Below are 25,048 nucleotides of genomic sequence, written 5' to 3' on the forward strand. Positions count from 1 at the left end.
CTCTCCCTCCATGACATCAACTTTTTAGCTCCCACATATGAGTGAGAACATATGGTAGCTGTCTTTCTGTGCTTGGCCTATTTCACTTAACGTTATGATCATCGGTTCCATCCATGCTGCTGCAAATGACGATTTCATTCATCTTATGGCTGAATAGAATTCCATTATATATATATTTATATATATATATATATATATATATATATATCTATCTCACATTTTCTTTATTTCTTCATCTGTCAGTGGACACAGTTTGATTCCATATCTTTGCTGTTGTGAATAGGAGAGTGCTACCACTGTTAAAGGATCTATTTACATACATGCTTATAAATAAATGCATCCAGGATTTTTGTAAAGATCTATCATTACTTTCACTCTTTTGTAGCTTTTGAATTTTTTCATCATGTGCATCCACTTCCTAAAAACAAAATTTCTTTTTTTAACTTTTCTTTTCTTTTTCTTTTTTTTTGAGGCAGGGTCTCATTCTGTCACCCAGGCTGGATTGCAGTGGTGTGACCTGAGCTCACTGCAACACGTACCTCCTGGGCTCAAACAATCCTCCTACCTCAGCCTCCTGAGTAGCTGAGACTACACACTCATGCCACCACACCCAGCTAATTTTTGTATTTTTTGTAGAGATGGGGTTTTGTTATGTTGCCAAGACTGCTGTCTAACTCCTGGGCACAAGCAATCTGCCTGCCTTGGCCCAAAGTGCTGGGATTACAGGCATGAGCCACCGCACCCAGTTGTGTTTTTTTGTGTTTTGTTTTTGTTTTTGTTTTTGTTTTGAGACAGAGTCTCCCTCTATTGCCCAGGCTGGAGTGCAGTGGTGCTGAAACAGGAAAAGTTCCCGTGTCCCCCTCGCAGGGCAGGCGATGGGGGTGTGGTTCGCTTCTTCAGTGCCCCACTGCTCAAACCGCTAGGGGAGCATACAGATGGGCAGGCTGTGGGGCTCCGGCCCCAGGGCAATGTCTAGGGGTTAATGTTTACAGCCAGGACCCAGTGGGCATGTGCTACTGTTTGCTCTTTTAGTTTTGCTGTCTATAGGTGGCTTTTGTTAACCAGTTCAATTAGACCCTCTAGGCCTGGCATGGTGGCTCATGCCTGTAATCCCAGCACTTTGGGAGGCCGAGGTGGGCAGATCACTTGAGGTCAGAAGTTCAAGACCAGCCTGGCCCAACATGGCGAAACCCCGTCTCTACTTAAAAATACAAAAATTATCCGGGTGTGGTGGCTCACACCTGTAATCCCACCTATTCGGGAGGCTGAGGCATGAGAATCACTTGAACCCCAGAGGCAGAGGTTGCAGTGAGCAGAGATTGCACCACTGCACTCCAGCCTAGGCGACACAGGGAGACACCATCTCAACAAAAAACAAAAAAAAAAAACAAAAACAAAAACAGAAAAAAAGGACCCTGTACCTTGTTGCGAGGACAGAGGACTTCCTGTATCCGGGTTTTTGACTTGGTGTACCGGAAGAATTGGATCACACGTGGGCTTGGAGAATGAGTGCAAGGTTTTGTTGAGTGGAAGTAGCTCTCAGTAGATGGGGGAGCCAGAAGGGAGATGGAGTGGGAAGGTGGCTTTCCCCTGGAGTCGGGTCGCTCAGCAGCCCAGGCTCTCCTCGACTGCCCTGGCCAAACTCCACGTCGTTCCACCAGTCGAGAGCCTGCCAGTGTCTGCCAGTGTGCTCTTCTGCCAGAGTGCTCCTTTCAACATCCTCTCAAAGTCCAGCGGCTTGCGTCTCCTTCTGCCAGTGTGTTCCTCATGATGTCCAGCCACTTCTGTGTCTGCCTGCTAGGGTCTTGGGGGTTTTCATAGGCACATCATGGGGATGCAGCAGGCCAGGGCATTCTGGGTAAATGCAATGTTTGGGCAGGAGTGCCTATCCTCACCTAGGTACATAGTGGTGGAGCTCTAGCCAGGGACCATGCCCTCCTCTACCCAGCACTTCTCTTCCCCACTCCTGTATCATTTAAAGGGACCACGCTGTTCCCTTCCCAGCACTTCCCTTCCATATCAGCGCTATCATTAGCTCCCTGCAGCCACAAACTCCTGGGCTCAAGTGATCCTCCTGCCTCTGCCTCCCAAGTAGCCAGGACTAAAGGCATGTGTCACCATGCCTGGCTAATTTTTTTAAAAAGTTTTGTAGAGATAGGGTCTTGCTATGTTGCCCAGGCTGAATTAACTGGACTATTGTTCAGGAAACCAAAGTACCAGGCAGTACAATGCTAGATTTGAAGTCTATGAAAATAGTACCCTCTGAATCATTAAGGCGCATCTTCCTATGAGAGGTGGCTTGAGCCAGACCCTGGTGGCCAGGGGCAGTGTCTGTCTGGACCTTCCCACCAACAGGCTGTGCAGCCCTGGCCAGCCCCTATTGCTCCTGTACTCTTTCCTTACCTGCTAAACACACCCAAATCACAGCAGAAATCCAATTCACTTGAAGACAAGGGCTAAGCCTTTCTCATAACCAAAGGCCGTGCGCTTCCCAGAGCAAAAGTCTGTATTTGTCCCCTCATGTTCTGAGCTGCCAGGCAGTAATTCTAGCCTACAGTTACTCAGTGTGACCTAAAATAACAATTACCCAAGAAATGAAATTCTGATAATTTCAAGTAGAATAAAATGGAACATATTTTAGTGAATGGATTGTAAGGAAAAGCCTAAAGATTTGGAACTGCCCATACGTGGCACTTTAAAAATCTTGGGCCCTTTATTTCAGGTAATCAGTTCATAGAGTAAAAACCCATGTGACTGCCAAGACTGGTTATTAGTTCAAGCCCAAGAACACATCTTCAAAGGAAGAGAATGAATTTATCCACAGTTCTGATTGTTTTTTACGTTCTAAAATCACACTTATTATTAAAATATAATTCACTTAATGGTGATGGTAATTACATCAGCCAATTCACTTAAAATGAATGCGCAAAGATGAATGCACAAAAATGCACCATTTTTCAATGAATTGGCTGATGTACTTACCGTCACCATCAAAACGCAGGGTGTTCCCCTTTCCCCGGGAAGCTTCCTTGTGCTGCAGTCTCTGTCAAATCCCTTATTCACAGACCTGGCCAAACACTGGTCACTAGAGATTAGATTTAGCTTTCAGGGTTTCACAGAAGTGGAATCATTCACTCTATGCTGCTTCTTGTCTGGTACCTTTCGCTCAGCACAATGTTTTTCAGCTTTATCTGTGTTGTTACATGTGCCAAACCTTTATTCCTTTGTCGTTGTTGTTTTGAAACAGTCTTGCTTCGTTGCCCAGGCTGGAGTGCATCGGTGCCATTGTAGCTCACTGCAGCCCTGAACTCCTGGGCTCAAATTATCCTCCCGCCTCAGCCTCCCAAGTAGCTGGGATGACAGGTGTGTGCCACTGTGCCCTACTAATTTTTTATTTTTATTTTATTTTATTTTATTTTGAGACAGAGTCTCGCTCTGTCGCCCAGGCTGAGTGCAGTGGCGCAATCTTGGCTCATTGCAAGCTCCGCCTTCTGGGTCTACGCCATTCTCCTGCCTCAGCCTCCCGAGTAGCTGGGACTACAGGCGCCCGCCACCACACCAGGCTAATTTTTTGTATTTTTAGTAGAGACGGGGTTTCACCATGTTAGCCAGGATGGTCTCGATCTCCTGACCTCATGATCCACCCGCCTCGGCCTCCCAAAGTGCTGGGATTACAGGTGTGAGTCACCACGCCCAGCCCATTTTAATTTTTTTTAGAGATGGGGTCTTAACTATGTTGCCCAGGCTGGTGTTGAACTCCCGGCCTCAAGTGATCCTCCCACCTTCGTCTCCCAAAGTGATGGGATTACAGGTGTGAGCCACTGCACCCGGCCACATTTATTCCTTTTGATCGCTGAACAGTACTCCTCAAATGATTTTTTAAAAATAACTATCTTCTTCCTCATGACCTGCTGGTAACTCCTAGAACAGTGATGGAGGAGAATTATGGAATGGTCCTTCTAAGCTCCTGAATAATTAAACCAGTGAGCAGAGCCACTGTCCCATCCCGTTGGCCACACCAGACACTTGGGAATTATTTTTGGTTCCTTCTTCTACCTCTTTTCAATTCCAATAATTACCAAGTTCTATCAATTTTAATCCCCTAATATCTCTCTAATCGATCTCTTCAGTTGCTATTTAAGTAACTCTTCATTTCTTCTCACCTGTGTTACTACAGAAATTCATTTTTCTATAGTTTTGCCTTCCATCAATCCCTTCTCCATCTTAAACCAAACTGATCTTACTGAGAGGAATGTTGTGATTTCCTCTCTCTCTCTCTCTCTGGAATGAATATATACATACATACATATATATATATATATATATGTGTGTGTATATATATATATATATATGTGTGTGTGTGTATATATATATATATATATATGTGTGTGTGTGTATATATATGTATATATATTCCAGAACCTTTTCATCACCCTAAAGAGAAACTCTGTCCCTAAATCCCATTCCCCCTCCCCTAGCCCCTGGTAACCACCAACCACCATCTCACTTTCGCTCTACAAATTTGATTATTCTAGGTACCCCATATAACGACTCGTACGGTATTTGTCCTTTTGTGTCTGGCTTATGTCACTTAGCCCAATATTTTTCAGGTTTATCTATGTTGTGTCATGTGTCAGTATCAGGATTTCATCTCTTTCTGAGGCTGAATGATGCCCCACTGTGTTTATCCATTCATCTGTTGGACACCTGGGCTGCTTCTATCTCTTGCTATTGTGAAGAATGCTGCTGTGAACATGGGCGCACAAGCTTCTGTTCCAGTTCCTGCTTTAATTATCTAGGGCATACACTTAGGACTGGGATTGATGGCTCATATGGTAATTCTGTGTTCAAATTTTTGAGAAACCACCTAACTGTTTTCCACAGCGGCTGCACCATTTTGCATTCCCACAAGCAATGCGCAAAGGTTCCATTTTCTCCAAAACTGGATACAGTGAACAACAATGAAGGTTTTTGGTTTTAAACATATATACATATGTTGTTTATATGCTCTACACACATCTCTGTGTGTGTATCTTAAAATGGGTGCCAGTGACTCGCCATTCAGTTTTGGGCAACGTGGACTCTCGGTGCCTCAGTTTCCTCACCCCTAATGGAGGTACTGATACTGTTATCATTCTTGAAGTGATTGTGCAGTTTAAATGAGCAAATATATGTAAATGACTTAAGTGGGACCTGACAAATGCAGATGCTATAATGTAAGGATGGCTGATCTCATTATTGTTGTCATACTATTACTGAAAATCAGTGTGAATGAAATCTCTAAACTTTGCAATCAACACTGCTCACCTGGGTCTCCGTAGAAGCTGCAGCGAGCTGGGGCTGAGGCAGACAAGCCTGTGGACATGAGAACAGATGCATGTGCTCCTCAGACAGACAGACAGTAGGGTGTTGTGGAAGGGGTCATCTTTAGAGGCCACATACTGTAGTCCATCTCCCTCACAGAGCAGGAAGGTGAAGCTTGCCAAGCCTGAGGGAATCCTCCAGCCCAGACATCCTATGAGGGCATTGCCAGGACTTGGGGGTAGTGCCCTCGCTCCAGGCATGTCTTTTCCCCATCCCTTGAGCAGGAAGAAGCACAGCAGACAGCAGGGTGCATGCAGAGTACCTGGCAGAATCGCCTCGGTAGTGAGAACAAGCCTGCGTGATGCTGCAGGTGCCCCTGACTGTGACTGAGCCTGGCTTCACACACCTGGGTTTCCTCATGGCTGTTTTCAGCAATTTGGTTACTGTGGTCCCAGGATGCATAGCCTCTCAAGATTCCACAGAACAGCCTGGTCCAGCATGAAGGCTACACGGTGCCTGGTGCCATCTCTCAACGTGTTTGTTAAAAGGGAAGCTTTGTGGCCTCTTCATCTAATATAGAGGGCCTTCAAATTATAGACTTCCAAGTCCATAGCTATAGAGATTTTCATTTTAAAATATATGTATTGGCTGGGCATAATGGCTTACGCCCGTAATCACAGCACTTTAGGAGGCCAAGGCGGGAGGATCACTTGAGGCCAGGAGTTCAAGACCAGCCTGGGCAACAGAGTGAGACCCTGTTTCTCCTAAAATAAAAATTAAAAAATTAGCTAAGGATGGTGGCATGCACCTGTAGTTCCAGCTACTTGGGAGGCTGAAGTGGGAGGATCATTTGAGCCAAGGAGTTTGAGGCTGCAGTGAGCTGTGATTTCACACTGCACTCCAGCATGGGTGACAGAGCAAGACTCTATCTCTAAAAACAAAACAAAATAAATAAAATACAGTAAAAAATAGTGTGTTGTGTTGTGGGGTCTGATGCGGATGTCTACAGCTCTTCATTCCTAATGCATCTGCTGTTTTTCCAGCTCCCCCTGAGGCCACGGGCCACACAGGCCACAGGGGCTCTGCCTGCCCAGCTGGGTCCACAGGAATTCTGCCAAGAAGGGCTTTCTTTTGCCCTTGTGGGAGCTGGTGGGTCACTTCCTGGTTTTTTTCTCATGATTATTGTTTGTGAAGTTTGAATAGAACTGACTCCTGGCTTGTTTTTTAATTATTAAAGATTTAAGAACTTTTGAAAAGATTAAAAAAGAATTTTGCTCATATTCCTGCCAGCCTTGCATAATAATTGTTTTCATTTCTATAGACTTTTTTCTGGTCTTTTCTCATGCTGACACAGATTTTACATTGTTGTAATCATTGTGTGGGGACAATTTAGGTTCTTTCTTCTCAGTTTTGTTTGTAAACATCTCTTTCATATCACATTATTTATTATTATTATTATTTGAGACAGGGTCTCACTCTGTCACCCAGGCTGCAGTGCAGTGGTACAATCATAGCTCACTGCAGCCTCAACCTCCCAGGCTCAAGCCATCCTTCTGCCTCAGCTCCCTGAGTAGCTGGGACCACAGGTGTGTACCATCATGCTCGGCTAATTTTTACATTTTTTGTAGAGATGGAGTCTCGCTATGTTGCCCAGACTGGTCTTGAACTCTTGGCCTCAAGGGACCCTCCTGCCTCAGCTTCCACAGTCCTGGGATTATAGACATGAGCCACTGTGCCCACATTATTTATTTTTGACAGCCAAATAGTAATCTGTCAGGTTAACATACTGTAATATATTATAGAGAAGAGACATTCCTCTCTGACTGGTATTTAATTTTACCCAAATTTTCACTATCGTGAATTTTGTTTAACTCTTCTTGGTTTTATGCAATTTGTAAAAAATCACTGTTCATAATTTGTCTTCCATGCAGTTCATGCCACAGCATTTGAGAGTGGGTGCTGCCCTCCTCCACCGTCCCTCTTCTATCAGAATTCCGCCACAAGAAATGTCCTGGCATTAACATTTTGGAAGCTGCTTTAGTGAGGGCCACTCTTGGGGCTGGACAAATGGCTACTTGAGGGTGGTATCTGCCATGAGGTTGGTCAGGTACAGGGGCTTGGCTGGCCTGGCCTGGTGTGGACTATTCCAAGGTCACGTCATCAACAACAAGGTGGGTTAGCTATGGTGCACATACTCCGCTACCCTAAGCAGCTGGAAACCTGGACAAAATGTCTGAATCAACTGTTTTCAGGTGTTGAGAAACAGGCCATGCAGAGCTGTGACCCCAGAGTCTACAGAAATGAGATGGCAAGGCGCCGCAGCTGCCCTGGGTTTCTGCCTTGGTGGGGTCGGGGGTGCTTCATGCACATCAAGCAGTGCGAGTGGCTTGGCTGCATTGAGGAGCGGAGATGGGGGGCTCTGAACAGCTGTGGTTTGTGGGCTGAGTCCTGGAGGGATGGGAACACTGCAGAGAGGGGGCTCCAGTAATCCTCAGGGTTGCCCCGAGCATTGGGAGATCCTAAGCTGTGTGTGTGCGGTGTGCAACGTCGTGGAGACAGGAAAGAACGAGTGACCAGGAGCAGAAAGGCAGCTGAGTCCAAGAGTTCACCTGTTCTGGGAGATGCTCGGGTGGCAGCCAGACTCAGTGGATGGCTCTCACTGAACTCCCGGGATGCCCTAGAGACCCCTGAAGAGCCCCACCTTAGTAGTGGAGCAAATAAGCTCTAGAGTAAGGGTGTCTTAGACCCTCCCCTGCAGAGCTTAAAACAAGGCTTCAAAGTGAGGTTGGAGGCGGGCCCCAATCTGGAGGCTTGGCTCATGCAAGGGACCAAATTGAGGCCTAGCTAAACAGGGAGGGGGCAGAAGCAGCTTTCCCTAAGATACACCCACCAGTGTGCCATGTCAGTTTACCATTGCCATGGCAACACCCAGAATTGACCTCTCCTTTCCATGGCAATGACCGGACAACCCAGGAGTTCCTACTGCTTCCCTAGAAATTTCTGCATAAACCACTCGTTAATCTGCATGTAATTAAAAGTAGGTATAAGTATGCCTGCAAAGCTGCCCTGAGCTGCTACTCTCTGCCTATGGGGTCCCCCTGCTCTGCAGGAGCAGTCACGGAGCTGCAACACTGCTGCTTCAGTAAAAGCTGTTTCTCCTACCACCAGCTTGCTCTTGAATTCTTTCCTGGGTGAGGCCAAGAACTCTTGAGGGCTAAGCCCCACTTTAGGGCTCATCTGCCCTGCCTCAAAAAAATCAAACTAGTCTGCCAGTGACTTTGCTGCTTAACCAGGCTTGGAAGAAAAGAAAACTATAGATCAAGGTCCTTCATGAACACAAATGTGAAAATCTTCAACAAAATATTACCAAATATGACTCAGCCATGTACAAAAAGGATTATACACCATAATCAAGTAGAGTGTATCCCAGGAGTAAATGGTTAGTTCAACATTCGAAAGTCAATCAACACAATTCTTCCTATCAGCCAACTCAAGAAGGAAGCATTTATGATCGGCTCAATAGATCCAGAAACGGCATTTAACAACATCCAACACCCATGTGTGACCAAAACACAGGAAGCCGGGAATTAAAGGGAATTTCCTTAATGTGATAAAGGCATCTACAAATGCCCTACAACTAGCAGCATGCCTAAGGGTGAAAGACCGAATACTTTTCCCCTAAGGGCCAGAGCAAGGCCAGGTTGTCTGACCCCATCATTTCTATTCACCATTGTACTGGAGGTTGTAGCAAGGGCAAAAGGTGAGAAAAAGGAAAGGCATACAGATTGGAGAGGAATAAACAAAACCATCTTTATTCCCAGATGATAGGATTTTCAGTGTAGAAAATCCGATGGAATCTACAGAAAAGCTACCGAAACTCACAAGGAAATATATCTACTAGCAAACCACTGAAAATTGAAATAAACATGTCCATTTATGACAGCACCAAAACACAAATTTGGTCATGAATCCTATAAAATATATGCAAGAGCTACATGCTGAAAACAATAAAACTTGGCCGGTGCAGTGGCTTATGCCTGTGATCCCAGCACTGTGAGAGGCTGAGGCAGGAGGATTACTTGAACCCAGGAGTTCAAGACCAGCCTGGGCAGCATAGCAGGAGCCCATCTTTATACCAACAAGGAAGAAAGAGGCCAGGCACAGTGGCTCACACCTGTAATCCCAGCACTTTGGGAGGCCGAGGCGGGCGGATCACTTGAGGTCAGGAGTTCAAGACCAACCTGGCCAATATGGTGAAACCCCATCTCTACAAAAATACAAAAATTAGCAGGGCATGATGGCCGGTGCCTGTAATCCCAGCTACTCAGAAGGCTGAGACAAGAGCATCGCTTGAATCCAGGAGGTGGAGGTTGCAATGAGCTGAGATCGCACCATTGCACTCCAGCCTGGGTGACAGAGCGAGACTCTGTCTCAAAAAAAAAAAAAAAGAAGAAAGAAAAAGATATATAAAAAGCTATAAAATGCTGATAAAAAAATCAAAGAATTCCTAAATAAATGGAGAGGTATATTGTGTTCTTGTGTTGGAATAGTCAATATTCCAAGGTTTACAAGATGTCAGTTCTCCCACACTGATCTAGAAATTAAACTAAGTCCCAGTGAAAATCTCTGCAGGTTTTTTGGTAGAAATCGACAAGCGGACTCTAAAATTCACAGAGAAAGGCAGGAAGCTACCATAGACACTACTCTAGAGAAGAATATGGTTGGAGGACACACACTATCTGATTTGAAGACTTACTACAAAGCTACGGTCATACAGACATGGTGGTGTTGGAGAAGGCATAGACAGATAGATCAATGGACAGACAGGCAGGCCACAGAAATCGCCCCACATGGCTGTGGTAGATTGCCTTTTGACAGTGTGAGGCCAGTTTAGTGGAGGATGGATTGTTTCGGGATGAAGTTCTTGGTTCAGAGGGTCTGAGACTCAAGGAGGAGTTCTGGAGCCCAGAGACACCGTTTTGGGAGGTGTAGACTTAGAGTTGGAATGGAGGACGTAGGAAGATGTGAGCTTCCCCAGGGAGATGGGAAGATGGAGGAGAAAGCTGGGGTCCTGACTCTGGAATAGGAGAGAGACAGGATTAAGAGAGGGACCTAAAGGCGGGGAAGCTCACGTCTGCACAATGGGGAACGTATCTGGGGAAGGAGCTGGCACATGCTGTCAGGTGCTTCTTTGAGCACAAGATGGCCCAGGCCGGAAAAGGGATTTCAGGGAGGTAAAGAAATGCAGAAGAATGGGAGAGCAGGGTGGAGACACAATGGTGCTGCACATCAGCCTGGTGTCACCCTCTGCTGCACATGGAGGGATGGGGGTCATGCCAACAAACAGCCATACAGTTTTCCTTCTTAGCTGCTTGTTTTTTTTGAGACATGGTCTGGCTTTGTTGCCCAGGCCGGAGTGCAGTGGCACAATCTTGGCTCACTGCAGTCTCAATCTCCCGAGCTCAAGCAGTCCTCCCACCTCAGCCTCCCAGGTATTTGGGATCATAGGCATGCACCACCATGCCTGGCTAATTTTTAAAATTTTTTGTAGAGACAGGGTCTCACTATCTTGCCCAGGCTGGTGTTGAACTACTGGGCCTAAGTGATCCTCCTGTCTCAGCCTCCCAAATCATGCTGAGATTACAGGCATGAGCTACCAGGCCCGGCCTCTCAACTCTTTTTTTTTTTTTTTTTTGAGACAGAGTCTCGCTCTGTTGCCCAGGCTAGAGTGCAGTGGCACAATCTCGGCGCACTGCAAGCTCCACCTCCCGGGTTCACGCCATCCTCCTGCCTCAGCCTCCTGAGTAGCTGGGACTACAGGCGCCCGTCACCATGCCTGGCTAATTTTTTTTGTATTTTTAGTAGAGACGGGGTATCACTGTCTTAGCCAGGATGGTCTCGATTTCCTGACCTCGTAATCCGCCCACCTCAGCCTCCCAAACTGCTGGGATTACAGGCTTGAGCTACCGCGCCCGGCCTCAACTCTTTAAAGTAAGATCTATCATCCCCATTTTACGGACAGGGGAACTGAGGCTGGGTTCCTGCCGCCAGCGAGTGGGACCCCTGGCCTTTGAGCCCCGGCCCTTCCCACCACCCTCTGCTGCTGGGGCTCAGCCCTCGGGCACGTGGTTGTGTTAATGGAGAGCCATGGCCATGACTTGGAGGGCCCGGAGAGCGTGCACATCATGCCTGCTTCCCATGATGCCCTGCGAGGTGGGCAGAGGCCGGGGGTGCTCAGGCCGAGCCCCTGCTACAGCAGATCTGAGGCACCAGCAGGGACTGGCTAGGTCCTCCCAGGCAGGCCAATGTGCCCGGGTCTTGGGCCTCTCTCTCTCACTCCTCACTGCCTCTCAGCTGCCCAGGCAGCGTCCCCTGCAGAGCAGCCCTGGAGCCTGGCCCCAGGCTGTGTTGCTGCCTCTTGCCCCCATGGGGCTGCCTCTGCAGGGAGCCTGAGTCGTTTCCTCCCTGGGCAGGTTTCAAAATGGCTAAGTCCAGTGGAGAAAAGAATGGCTCAAAGGGACCACAGGCTTGAATTTGAAAAAATAAAAATGCTCGATGCCAAAGCGTAGACGCACATTTATTTGAACGACTTACACTTTGACCTGAAACAGTTTTTTCCAAATTGTTTTCCACAGCGGTAATCTCTTCAAAATGAACACATGTGAGGTCTTCGAATGTATGTTAAAGGCCAGTATTTGTTTTTTTTTTTTTTTTTTTTTTTGCTTTGGAAGAACCGACCTCATCGTTTGCATGAGAACCTGATATTCTTGGTCCTCTGTACCTTTTGTAACTTCCTCTGAATGAGAGGAAATATGGTTTCCAGTTATGTTTAATTTACTTTAAACAAATCAAAGCACAGATTTCTACTTCCTGCCTGTGTAATACTTGACTGCAGGCAGCTTCAAAGGGCAGAATCACTGTTCTTGTGACTGTGCCTCTGTCGTGTTCTGTTATAAACAGTTCAAAGCTCTGCATTGTACAGGAGCGCGCGGAACAGCATGTAGAGATCTTTTTCTCTGTAGTGGCGGCAGAGCTGTGTGTGCCCTTTTGCTTTGCCTTGTGCTGGTGGTGGATTAAGTTTAGGTTTTCATAGAATATATATTTATGTAGAGACTCAGAGTTTATTTTTCCTGTTTTCTCCAGCACTGCTTAACTCATTCTCTGAAATGTTTATCACAAATGGCAGGTGGGGCTCAGAGGATGTCTCTATCTTTGTTCCTTGGCTTAAACTGGCAGGTTGTTGTAAAGGGCAGTGGGAGGGAAAGAAAACTAAGGGGAAACCAAATTACTTATTTAGGGCTTGATTTTCTGGCAGGTGAATTGGGCTTAGGAAACCCCACCTAGATTAGCAGCTGTTCCTGACCGGCCCCTCGCCAAAGCTGCACCCCTGGGTGGTGGTGGGGGCTTCAAATTAGGGTGTCCCAAGGGCTGGATTGTTCCAGCAAAGGTGTTCCTGGATTCCCAAAGCAAGTTCACTTGTTTTAGGAACAGTTCCCTGAGGCTCTGCAGGGGCTGCTGGGCTGCCTTGTCTCCCCAGGTCCATGACGCCAGGCCACCATCCATGCATCCTGTTGTGTGCTGGGACGGGGTGCCAGATGCTGGCATCCAGGAACAGAGAGTGGATTGCATGAACATGGCTACCATGCAGTTGGTTCTCTGCTGCTGGGGTGCAGGCACCTGAAAGACACGGAGGAGCTAACCCAGCTGAGAAGGGTGTGTGCCAGTCAGGACCTGGGGTGCAGGACACAAACATCACACCACTGGGTTGCACAAGACTTGGAGGAGGGGCCCAGGAGGATGACATCAAGGTCTGGAGGGGGTTGCTCAACAACACACCTGGATGTGCAGTGCAGGCATGGCACCTGCCTCTGCAGCAGGGCCCAAAGACTCGATGGGGCTGCCATGTGGCCTGATGTGAGTTGGAGTGAGGCTGTGACCCCCGGGTGAAAGCTGCAGCCTGCATGCATCGATCACAAGCGAGGGCTGGCTGTGTCCTCATCCCAGGAAGGGCGGGGTGAGGGCCTCACCACAGTGTGGGCAGGGCCCACTCACGCCCTGGGAAGTGAATCAGGAGGTGGCAGCAGGCACTGGGGCTCTCTAATCTCTTGCCCGTCTTTGTCCAGTTATTGTGAGAGCTCCAATTCCCTGTTCTTATTTCTCTGAAAGTGCTGATAAGATGGGTACAGAATAAATCAAATGCAAAGTTACGTTTCCTGGCTTAGGAAGCAAAAACCTAAGTATAACCTTGGAAGTGCTCCTGGGTACTCCTTTCTTTCCCCAAGGTGATTTTTCCCTCTTAAACACATTACAGTAAAATACATACAACATTCACTACTTTAATCATGTTTTGTTTGTTTGTTTGTTTGTTTGTTTGAGACAGGGTCTCGCTTTGTTGCCCAGGCTGGAGTGCAGTGGAGCAAGCACAGCTCGCCTTCTGGGCTCAAGTGATCCTCCCAAGTAGCTGAGACTACAGGTGTGAGCCACAGTACCTGACTGATTTTGAAAAAAAATTGTTTGTAGAGATAGGGTCTGGCTATGTTGCCCAGGCTAGTCCAAACTTCTGACCTCAAACTATCCTCCAGGCTGGGACTCCCAAAGTGCTGGAATTACACACGTGAGCCACTGTGCCTGGCCCACTTTAATTTTTTTTTTTTTTGAGATGGAGACTCTGTCACCCAGGCTGGTGTGCAGTGGCACAATCTCGACTCACTGCAATCTCCACCTCCCGGGTTCAAGTGATTCTCCTACCTCAGCTTCCCTAGTAGCTGGGACTATAGGCATGCGCCCCATGCTTGGCTGATTTTTTTTGTATTTTTTAGTACCAACACCATGTTGGCCAGGCTGTTCTTGAACTTCTGACTTCAAGTGATCCACACATCTCGGTCTCCTAAAGTTCTGGAATTACAGGTGTGAGCCACCGCACCTGGCCCCACTTTAACCATTTTTAAGTGCATTAAGGACATTCACAGTGTTGAGCAGCCAGCACCATCACCATCTCCAGAACGTCGTCATCTTCCGAGGCTGAAACTCTGTTCCCATTGAACACCACCTCCCCACTCCCCATGGCTGTCTCAGGAGCTGGCCTGAGCACTGCTGCCCTCAAGGTCACTCTAGAAGTGGAGCTTCAGTTCGGCCCCCACTTCCTGTGGCTCTATCCCTGCAGGTGTGCCCGGGATCCAGAGGTGGCCCCATGAGGCCTTGTCCGAGCAGGTCTGGCTGGACCCTTGCTCCTCTTGGAGCTGGGTAGGGCTGGGTGGGCTGCGTAGGGATGTTCAGGGCAGTGGTCACCTGTTGCCCAGCTCTGGGTGGAGCCCTGTCTGAAGACAGCTGTTCTTTTCTAAAGAAAGAAGATCTGTCAGACGTTAGTCATCTGCACCACTGTCACAGCTGACGTTGATTGAGCTCCTGTGTCCTGGGCACTGTCCCAAAAGCCCCCTGCATGCAGTTCTTGCCATTTAGTACCTTTTGTTTTGTGTTTACTGAATGGATACAGCCGGAAGCTAGCTAAATTTAACTCACGCCCTCGACTTGGGTGGAGGTGAGGAAGGGGCTTTCTGAGGCAGGGAATTGGGTGAGGGCTTTATTTTATAGGCATACTTTGGAGATAGTGTGAGTTCAGTTCCAGACCACACTGCAGTAAAGTGAATATCATAATGAAGTGGGTCATATGAATTTTTTGGTTTCCCAGCACATATAAAAGTTATGTTTACACTAAACTGTAGTCTATTAAATATAGGATAGCATCACATCTAAAAAAAACAATTTTTATATGCCTTCATTTAAAAATACTTGGCCGAGCGTGGTGGCTCATGCCTGTAATCCCAGCATTTTGGGAGGTTGAGGCGGGAGGATCATGACCTCAGGAATTCAAGACCAGCCTGGTCAATATGGTGAAACCCCGTCTCTACTAAAAATACAAAAAAAAAAAATTAGCTGGGCATGGTGTCGCGCGCCTGTAATCCCAGCTACTCAGGAGGCTAAGGCAGAAGAATCTCTTGAACCCAGGAGACGGAGGTGGTAGTGAGCCGAGATCACGCCATTGCACTCCAGACTGGATGACAGAGCGAGACTCCGTCTAAAAAAAAAAAAAAAAGAAAGAAAAAGAAAAAAAAACTTTACTGCTAAAAATACTAATGATCATCCAAGTCTTCAGTGAGTCAGAATCTTTTTGCTGGTGGAGGGCCTTGCCTCGGTGCTGATGGCTGCTGACTGATCAGGGTGGTGGTTGCTGAAGGGTAGAGGGGCTGTGACAATGTATTCAAATCAGACAACAGTGAAGTTTACCACATTGATTGACTCTGCCTTTCACAGGAGATGGCCCCCGGCACTGGAGGCTGCTTGATACCATTTTACCCACAGTAGAAGGTCTTTCAAAATTAGAAATCCTCTCAAGCCTGCTGTGTTTTTTCGGTTATGAAATATTCTGAACGCTTTGTTGTCATTGCAACCATGTTCACAGCATCTGCCCCAGGAGGACGTTCCGTCTCAAGGAACCACTTTCTTTGTTCATCCCTAAGAAGCAACTCCTCATGTGTTCAAGTTGGATCCTGAGATTGCAGCAATTCAGCCCCTTCTTCGGGCTCCACTTCTTTTTTTTTTTTGAGACGGAGTCTCGCTCTGTCGCCCAGGCTGGAGTGCAGTGGTGCAATCTTGGCTCACTGCAAGCTCCGCCTCCCGGGTTCACGCCATCCTCCTCCCTCAGCCTCCTGAGTAGCTGGGACTACAGGCGCCCGCCATCACGCCCAGCTAATTTTTTGTATTTTTAGTAGAGATGGGGTTTCACCGTGTTAGCCAGGATGGTCTCGAACTCCTGACCTCGTGATCCACCCACCTCGGACTCCCAAAGTGCTGGGATTACCAGTGTGAGCCACTGCACCTGGTCTAGGCTCCACTTCTAAATCTGGTTCTCCTGCTGTTTCCCCCACATCTGCAGTGACTTTCTCCACTGAAGTCCTGAACCCTCAAAGTCATCCATGAGGGTTGGAATCTACTTCTTCCAAACTCCTATTAATGTTGATATTTTGACCTCTTCCCATGAAGCAAAAATGTTCTCTTTTTTTTGAGACAGGGTCTCACTCGTTGCCCAGTCTGGAGTGCAGTGATGTGATCGCGAGGACATCAACAACCTTCTGGGCTCAGGTGAGCCCTGCCTCAGCCTCCCAATTAGCTGGAACTATAGGCATGCACCACCAAACCTGGCTAGTTTTTTTTTTTGTTTGTTTTGTTTTTTTTTTTTATAAACAGAGTCTCCATATGTTGCCCTGGCTGGTCTCAAACTCCTGGACTCAAGTGATTCTTCTGCCTCAGCCTCCCAAATTGTTGGAATTAACAGGTGTAAGTCACCACAACTTGCTGCTTTTCATGGCATCTAGACTGGTGAATCTTTTCCAAAAGATTTTCAATGTACTTCGCCCGAATCCATCAGAGGAATCACCATCTATGGCAACTATAGCCTTATGAAATGTATTTCTTGAATAATAAGACTTGAAATTGAAATTACTCTTCAGTCCATGGGCTGCGGAATGGATGTTGTGTTAGCAGGCATGCACACAGCTTTCATCTCCTTGTCCATCTCCATCACAGCTCCTGGATGACTAGGTGCAGTAATATTTTGAAAGGATTCTTTTTTTTTTTCTGAGCAGCATTTCTCAACAGTGGGCTTAAAATATTCAGTAAGCCCTGCTGTAAACAAATGTGCTGTCATCTAGGTTTTCTTGTTCCATTTCTAGAGCGCAGGCAGAGAAAATTTGGCATGATTCTTAAGGCCCTAGGATTTCTGGAATGGCGAATAAACATTGGCTTCAACATAAAGTCACCAGCTGCATTAGCCCCTAACAGAGCCAGCCTTTCCTTTGAAACTTTGAAGCCAGTCATTGACTTCTCCTCTCTAGCTAGGAAAGTCCTAGATGGCATCCTCTTCTGATAGAAGGCTGTTTCACCTACATTGACGATCTGTTGTTTAGTGTGGCCACCTTCATCAGTGATCTTAGCCAGATCTTCTGGATAACTTGCGGCAGCTTCTACATCAGCACTTGCTCCTTCACCTTGCACTTTTATGTTATGTAGATGGCTTCCTTCCTTACCCTCATGCACAAATCTCTACTAGCTTCTAAGTTTTCTTCTGCAGCTTCCTCACCTCTCTCAGCCTTCATAGAATTGAAGAGAAGTAGGATCTTGCTCTGAATTAGGCTTTGACTTAAGGAAATGCATGGCTGGTTTGATCTTCTATCCAGACCACTACCACATTCTCCATATCAGCAATAAGGCTGTTTCACTTTCTTATCATTTGTGTCTTCACTGGAGGAGCACTTTTAATCTCCTTCAGGAACTTTACCTTTGCATTCACAATTTGATTATTTGGTGCAAGAGGTCTAGCTTTCAGCCTGTCTCAACTTTTGACAGCCTTCCTCACTAAGCTTAATCATTTCTAACTTTTGACTTAAAGTGAGAAATGTGCAACCCTTCCTTTCACTTGAACACTTAGAGGCCATTGTAGGGTTATTAATTGGCCTAATTTCAATATTGTTGTGTCTCAGGGAATAGGGAGGCCTAAGGAGAGAGAGAGAGATGGGGCATGGACAGTCAGTGGAGCAGTCAGAACACACATATTATCAGAAGTTCACTGTCTTATACGGGCATGGTTCCGGGCCCAAAACAATGACAATAGTAACATCAAAGATCACAGGCTGGGTGCAGTGGCTCACACCTGTAATCTCAACACTTTGGGAGGCTGAAGCACGTAGATTGCTTGAGCCCAGGAGTTTGAGACCAGCCTGGGAAACATGGTGAAACCCAGTTTCTACAAAAAATACAAAAGTTATCCAGGCATGGTGGCACACGTGTGCCTGTGGTCCCAGCTACTCGGGAGGCTGAGGTGGGAGGATCGCCTGAGCCTGGGAGATTGAGGCTGCAGTGAACCATGACTGCAGTACTGCACTCCAGCCTGGGTGACAGAGTGAGACCCTGTCTCAAAAAAAAAAAAAAAAATCATTACTCATGAGGCAGGAGAATAGGGTCTGGAAGCAGGGAACCTAAATCCTCACCTTTTCTGCACTGGCAGATGGGAAATTGGCTGTCTTCAACAAATCTGACTGATTGCCGGTGGAGTCTTTGTTTGCAACTTGGTAACTTCACTCTGGCCTTGGAATGGTTGCTGTCCACAATCAATCAGACTGATTGTGGGCAGAGTCTTTGTTTGCATAGAAGTATAACTCTGTAACTTCATCCTAGCCTCTGATTGCTTTTTGCAACCAATCAGATGTTTGCACAGGAGTGTGACCTTTGTAACATTACTTCAGCCTCTGGTTGGCTGCTTTCTGCAACCAATCAGAATGATTGTGGGCTATCACTTCATTTACATGAGATGAGCATGAAGTGGCCAATGGGAAACTTCTTGGGGGTATTTGAACCCAAGAAGATTCTGTATCTGGGCCCTGAGCCACTGCTTGGGCCCGCTCCCACACTGTGGCGTGTTCTTTCATTTTCAATAAACACCTGCTTTCATTCTTTTGTTGCTTCATTCTTTCTTTGCTTTGCTGGGTGTTTTGTCCAATTCTTTGTTCAAAACACCAAGAACCTGGACAACTTGCAGTCACGACCCTCTACCGGCGACAGTCACCGATCACCATGATGGATACCTAATAAGGAAAAAGTATGACATATTATGAGAATTACCAATGTGACACAGAGAGCCAGAGGTCACATACTGTTGGAAAAATGGCACCAAGAGACTTGCTAGACACAGGCTTGCCACAAGCCTTCAATTTGTAGAAAACACAATATCTATAAAATGCAATAAAGCAAACTACAATAAAATACAGGTGTGCCTGTATTCTATTTTGCCCCAACCTCCACAACAACCATGAGGTGCAAAGATATTTCACCCCCATTTTGTAGACCAGAAAACAAGCAGAGAGAGGCTAACTGTAAGGGTGTGTTTTTAGATCCCAATGCCAGGAAGGGTCAGAGTGCAGGTTCTGCCACATTTGACATCATGCGGTCCAGGGGGCCACTGCACCTGATGCCCGTGTCATCAGGGCTGGGATTTGGTCTCCAATGCACCTGTGTGATCAAGGCCCAGGATGTGTGCCGGGGGGTGGCTTTCCTTCCTGGGGGAATGTGACTGGCCCATACCATTTCTGGTTTAACTTTCTAGTGAATCGATTTTCATGTCTTTAGAGTTTAAACTGTGCAGGCAGCCTCAGGGAGAGCCAAGAGTTCCGTGGACAGTCTTGAAGCTTGATGGGCTCTTCTGAGTGACAGCGTGAGCGCCAGGCACGAGTCCAGACTGTGATATGGGCTTTGACCCTCTGACCTCATTGCCTCTCTGTTTATCCGCTTTGCTTCCTCTGCAGCTGATGTCATTGTGGTTCACATTTCGCAGTAGGATGATCCCTGGGGAGTGGGTAGTGAGGGACACTTGTTGGGGAGGGCCTGTCTGGACCTAGGGACAGAGCTGGGATCATCAGCTGTGACCTGTTGGCCAGATCCCAGCACCGCTCTACCCCATGGCTCAGGAGCTTACTATGTTTGTTACATTGCTAAATGGTCAGAAAGAAGGAAGAAGAAAGAAGGAGAAGAGGAGGAGGATTATTATTCACGATTGGCCTAAGGGGCTCACACCTGTAATCTCAGCACTTTGGAAGGCTGAGGCGGTGGACTGCTTGAGGCCAACTCAATCCCCGTCTCTACAAAAAATTAAAAAATTAGCTGGGAGTGGTGGCATGAGCCTGTACTCCTAGCTACTCAGAAGGATCGCTTGAGCCCAGGAGTTGGAGGCTGCAGTGAGTTATGATCGTAAAAAATAAAAAGATTTCATGACATGTGAAAACGATCTGAAATTCTAATTCACTGTCCATAAATGAGCTTTACTGGAACACAGTGGTGCCCATTCCTTTTGCTTTGTGTGGGCTGTTTTGCTCCCACGGCAAGGTTGAGTAGCTGGGACAGAGGCCATGTGGCCTGGAGAGCCTAACATATTTACCAACTGGCCCTTCCCACAAGACGCTTGCCAAGCCCAGGCCCTGCGTTCCCTCCCTTCCTGCGATGACAAAGTCAGGTTGGTAGTCACATTTCATGGGGTTGGCACAAACCGTTGGTGCTTAATCGGAGTGGAAGAGGCTGTGCTGGGGGCCAACTGCACAACTGCACGGGTTCCAGAGAGAAGGCAGCGGCCCACATGCCATCAACTGTCCCACACCTGTGGCTGCCAGGGCCTGCCTCCGAGGGACGCCCCCCTCCGCCCGCCGTGTGTTCATTAAGAGGGCCGGGGTCTGTGGTGGCCCCACAGGCAGCGGGCCTCTGTCCTGTGCTCAGGTGGTGCTCTTTGAAGGGTGGCAGGGCCGGGGGCTCCTCTTGTGCTGCCAGAGCTGGTCCCAGAGACCCACCTGCCCAGGGCCAGCCCGTGGGATGGCAGCCCCGTGCGTGACAGTGGCCTTCGCATAGTACCATCTGCTCCCAGTGGGGCGGTTCTAGACTTGCTCTGGGAAGCAGCCTTTCCAGATAACAGGAGACACCCCAGCCAGTCGGTGGGGAAGCAGGCCTGGGGTCGGCCACGGGGACTCTGGAGGGTCTCTTCAGGCCACGGCTGGTGTTTCCTGAGGAAGTGGGGCCGACACAGAAGGGCCAGGGCCGCGTGGTTGAGAAGTAAGGATGAGGATGATGGGGGCTGCTAAGATCCCTGGCCCCATCACTGTGCAGCTTTTCTACTCACTTGTGGTAACAAACGCCCAACATGACATTTATCATCATAACCATTTTTAAGCACCCAGTTCGATAACCTAAGTATATCCTAAGTATATCCTTAGTATAACCTAAGTATATCCGCGTTGTTGTGCATCCAGTCTCCAAAATCCTTTTCATCCTGCAAAACTGAAACACTGTACCCACTAAACCACAACTCTCCTTTCTCCCTTCTTTTCAGCCCCTCCCCAGCTTACCATTCTGCTTTCTGTCTGTGAATTTGGCTATTCTAGAGAACTCATGTCAGTGGACTCACTCCGCATTTGTCTTTCTGTGACTGACTTATTTTACTTTGCATAATATCCGCAAGGTCCATCCACGTGGCGGTGTGTGTCCGAGTTCCCTGCCTCTCCAGGCTGAGTGATGCTGCCTTCTGCGGATGTGTCATCTTTTCTTTATCCATTCATCTCCTCATGGGCACTCAGGTTCCCTCTATCTCTTCAGCATGGGTGGGCATTTGCCCCAATCCTGCTTTCGCTTCTTTTGGATCTACACCTGGAAATGGTGTGCTGGATCAGAGGCTCTTCTTACTTTTAACTTTTGAGGAGCAGCCACACTGATTTCCATAGCAGTTGCACCATCTCACATTCCCACCATCGGCACACGAGGGTCCCACCGTCTGCACATGAGGGTCCCACCGTCTTCATTCACATCCTCACCAGCATGTGTGTGTGTGTGTTTTTTTAATAGCAGTCATCCTAGTGGGTGTGATCCGTTTTGTTTTAAGTAAGGCATAATTTTCATACAACAAAATGCACAGATCTTGTTTCCCATAACAGGAGTTTTGGCTGATGAACTTTCATGAAATCTACATCCCACCCAGGGATAGGACATTTCCGGTGCTCTGGGAAGCTCCCTCTCACCTTTCCCTGTCATCCCTCTCCACCCGGCACCGGGTTGCTGTCACACCGGAAGAGCAGTGCCTGCCCCTGCCCTTGGTGCCGATGCACCCACAGTAAAGACAGAAAGGTTTGCGTGGGCCCAAGCCTGCCTCCCCATTAGGCAGCCCTGCTCAGGGCTGCTCCTCGCACCCGGGGAGGAGGTGCCTGTGCCTCCAGGAGCAGGGAGAGGGCTGGGTTTGCAGGTGCCCTGCATCCAGCTCCAGCCTCTCCCCAGCCCGCTGTGTTTGCTTTTGGAGGGCTGAGCACAGGATGTGCCCGTCCTCTGCCTGATGACAGTGGAGTGATGTCAGGCCAGGTGCTTCCCGGAGGGAGGCAGGGCGTGCAGCCTGCTGCCTGGCAGGGGAGGGGGTGGGCAAGGTTCCCAAAGAGAGAGCTGAGCTACGGGCCGACTATGCATCAGCGATGTTTACAACAGCTTCCCGCCCTCACCAGTTTCGAAGTTTGCGTTTCCATTCTGAGAGCCTCATTTTCAGCCCCACTTGCTGCTAAAGGGCAGTTTATCTTCAGAATCAACATTCGGATAGAATCGCGCACCCTCTAACCTGGGAGCAGAATGTGCTCGGCTTTGACAACTATACAGTTTTTATGAGCAGCAGGTTCCTGAAAAGCTTGTGTTCCCAAGGCCAGGCTGGTGCCACGGGAAGGCCTGTCCCAGGCTGAGCTCCGTCTCTCCTCCCGTGGATTTACTCAGTAACGTTGCAGGAGTCTGAGCCCCGACAGTGTCGTGGGTTCATTCAACCTTCAGCAAATCATTATTCCTGTCAGACGCTTGGGATACAGAGTTGAGCAGGCTGGGAACCAGGGGGCAGACTCAGGGGATGACAGCATCACACATAAATACTCATATCCACCTAAGTGTGCATTCAGGCTGGGTGGTCAGGGGGTCCCTTAGAGGAAGCCACACCAGAAGGGTGGATGGGATTTAGCCAATGAGAAGAGCTGAGGTGGTGAGTCTCAGGGGAGCTCGGATGCAGCCTCTGTGGGGAGGTGTGTGAAGGGCCATGCCCTAAACAGCGTCCAGGGCAGTGGGGTGGCCAGCCCCTGACTGAGGGGGTTAATGGGGGTGGTGATAAGCCCCAGAACCAGAATTGCTTTTCAGGCCTCAGTGGCTCAGATTCCAGAGGCTTTGGTGTCTTTGGCAGAAAGAGACTGAAGTTTCTATTTCAGTTCTCTCAGTGAAAACCAGCATTTCTCACCCAGGCTTTCATGCTTTGGCTGAGTTCTAGGCTCCTTTTCTCCCAAGACATGGAGCAGATTCCAGGCTGGTGGCCGTCTCTGTGTGGTGCCTGAGCTGCGTGGCATCGATGGCTGTGAGCTTTGTCCCCACTGGCTCACGAGCTCACAGGGCCACACTGCCTTCTCCACACCGTACCCCACAGCATCGCGGTGCCAGTGCCTCCTGGCCTCCAGAGGTGGCTATTGGCTGCCTCATGCCTTCCTCAGAGATCTGGTTTTTAAAGTAAAGTGAGGGTCAGTAAATGGAGGGAGACAGAAGCAAAGAAAAATGGGTTGGACACAGAAAACAAACTGGCTGTCAGAGCTCTGATCTGAATCTCAGGCATCCTTTCCTTTCTTTTAAAAATATGTGATTGTGGTCAAACATACAGAACATAAAAGGTCTACCCATTTTTAAGTGCGTAGTTCAGTGGTGTTAAATCCATTCTCACTGTGCTGCAGCCACTCCCTAGAACTCTTCATCTTGGCCTGGTGCGGTGGCTCACGCCTGTAATCCTAACACTTTGGGAAGCTGAGGCGGGCGGATCACCCGAGGTCGGGAGTTCGAAACCAGCCTGACCAACATGATGAAACCCTGTCTCTACTAAAAATACAAAAATTAGCTAGGCGTGGTGGCACATGTCTGTAATCCCAGGTACTCAGGAGGCTAAGACAGAAGAACCACTTGAACCCAGGAGGTGAAGTTTGCAGTGAGCTGAGATTGTGTCATTGTACTCTGGCCTGGGCAACAGAGTGAAACTCTGTCCCAAAAAAAGAAAAAAAGAAAAGAACTCTTCATCTTGCGTGAATATTAAGCATTTTTTGAAAAACAAAAGGAGGCCAGGCATTGTGGCTCATACCTATAGTCCCAGCACCTGTATTATCAAGGCCCAGGGTGTGTGCCTGGGTGTGGCTTCCTTCCTGGGAAGGATCACTTCAGTCCAGAAGTTCGGGACCAGCCTGAGCAACATGACAAAACCCCGTCTCTACAGAGAAATGCAAAAATTAGCCAGGCATAGTGGCACATGCTTGTAGTCCCAGCCACTCTGGAGGCTGAGGCAGGAGAATTGCTTAAGCCAGGGAGGTGGAGGTTGCAGTGAGCTGAGATTGCACCACTGCACTCCAGCCTGGGCAAAAAAGTGAGACCCTGTCTCAAAAAATAAATAAAAAATAAAAAAGGAAAGGAAAGAAAATAAACAGAGCAAGGTTCTCTTCAAAATTTAGCTGCAGCCAGGTGTCGTGGCTCATGCCTGTAATTCCAGCACTTTGAGAGGCCGAGGTAGGAGGATCACTTGAGCCCAGGAGTTTGAGACCAGCCTGGGCAACATAGTGAGACCTTGTGTCTACTAAAAAAAGAAAAAATTTAAAAAACCAGGCATGGTGGCATGTGCCTGCAGTCTTAGCTGCTCAGGGAGCTGAGACGGGAGGATCCCTTGAGGCCAGTTCGAGGCTGCAGTGAGCTGCGATTGTTGCACTGCACTCCAGCCTGGGTGACAGAGCAAGAACTTTCTCAAAAAAAAAAAAAAAAAAAAAAAGGCCGGGTGCGGTGGTTCCCAGCACTTTGGGAGGCCGAGGAGGGTGGATCACTTGAGGTCAGGAGTTGGAGGTCCCCCCTGGCCAACATGGTGAAACCCCGTCTCTATTAAAAAATACAAAAATTAGCCAGTTGTGGTGGCATATGCCTGTAATCCCAGCTACTCAAGGGCTGAGGCAGGAGAACCGCTTGAACCTGGGAGGCTGAGGTTGCAGTCAGCCGAGACTGCTCCACTGTACTCCAGCCTGGGCAACAGAGACTCTATCTCAAAAAAAAAAAAGGCTCAGCTGCCAGGAGCCAGCATTTTTCCTCTTCCCATCATTCCCTTTCTGCAGCCAACTCCTGCCCCTCC

General features: G+C 48.1%; 6 annotated features.

The window, feature by feature from the left end:
- Window positions 11,015–11,557: an enhancer, noted in NCBI's record as "H3K4me1 hESC enhancer chr22:19583904-19584446 (GRCh37/hg19 assembly coordinates)". NCBI's record gives its function as "activates a minimal SCP1, AML or CMV promoter by ChIP-STARR-seq in naive and primed H9 embryonic stem cells {active_cell/tissue: H9 hESC(naive and primed)}" and the evidence as "EXISTENCE:reporter gene assay evidence [ECO:0000049][PMID:30033119]".
- Window positions 12,593–13,093: an enhancer, noted in NCBI's record as "H3K4me1 hESC enhancer chr22:19585482-19585982 (GRCh37/hg19 assembly coordinates)". NCBI's record gives its function as "activates a minimal SCP1, AML or CMV promoter by ChIP-STARR-seq in naive H9 embryonic stem cells {active_cell/tissue: H9 hESC(naive)}" and the evidence as "EXISTENCE:reporter gene assay evidence [ECO:0000049][PMID:30033119]".
- Window positions 13,094–13,594: an enhancer, noted in NCBI's record as "H3K4me1 hESC enhancer chr22:19585983-19586483 (GRCh37/hg19 assembly coordinates)". NCBI's record gives its function as "activates a minimal SCP1, AML or CMV promoter by ChIP-STARR-seq in naive H9 embryonic stem cells {active_cell/tissue: H9 hESC(naive)}" and the evidence as "EXISTENCE:reporter gene assay evidence [ECO:0000049][PMID:30033119]".
- Window positions 19,992–20,559: an enhancer, noted in NCBI's record as "H3K27ac-H3K4me1 hESC enhancer chr22:19592881-19593448 (GRCh37/hg19 assembly coordinates)". NCBI's record gives its function as "activates a minimal SCP1, AML or CMV promoter by ChIP-STARR-seq in primed H9 embryonic stem cells {active_cell/tissue: H9 hESC(primed)}" and the evidence as "EXISTENCE:reporter gene assay evidence [ECO:0000049][PMID:30033119]".
- Window positions 20,560–21,127: an enhancer, noted in NCBI's record as "H3K27ac-H3K4me1 hESC enhancer chr22:19593449-19594016 (GRCh37/hg19 assembly coordinates)". NCBI's record gives its function as "activates a minimal SCP1, AML or CMV promoter by ChIP-STARR-seq in primed H9 embryonic stem cells {active_cell/tissue: H9 hESC(primed)}" and the evidence as "EXISTENCE:reporter gene assay evidence [ECO:0000049][PMID:30033119]".
- Window positions 21,610–22,183: an enhancer, noted in NCBI's record as "H3K4me1 hESC enhancer chr22:19594499-19595072 (GRCh37/hg19 assembly coordinates)". NCBI's record gives its function as "activates a minimal SCP1, AML or CMV promoter by ChIP-STARR-seq in naive H9 embryonic stem cells {active_cell/tissue: H9 hESC(naive)}" and the evidence as "EXISTENCE:reporter gene assay evidence [ECO:0000049][PMID:30033119]".

Source organism: Homo sapiens, chromosome 22, assembly GCF_000001405.40.
Source record: "Homo sapiens chromosome 22, GRCh38.p14 Primary Assembly".
NCBI classification, from domain to species: domain Eukaryota; kingdom Metazoa; phylum Chordata; class Mammalia; order Primates; family Hominidae; genus Homo; species Homo sapiens.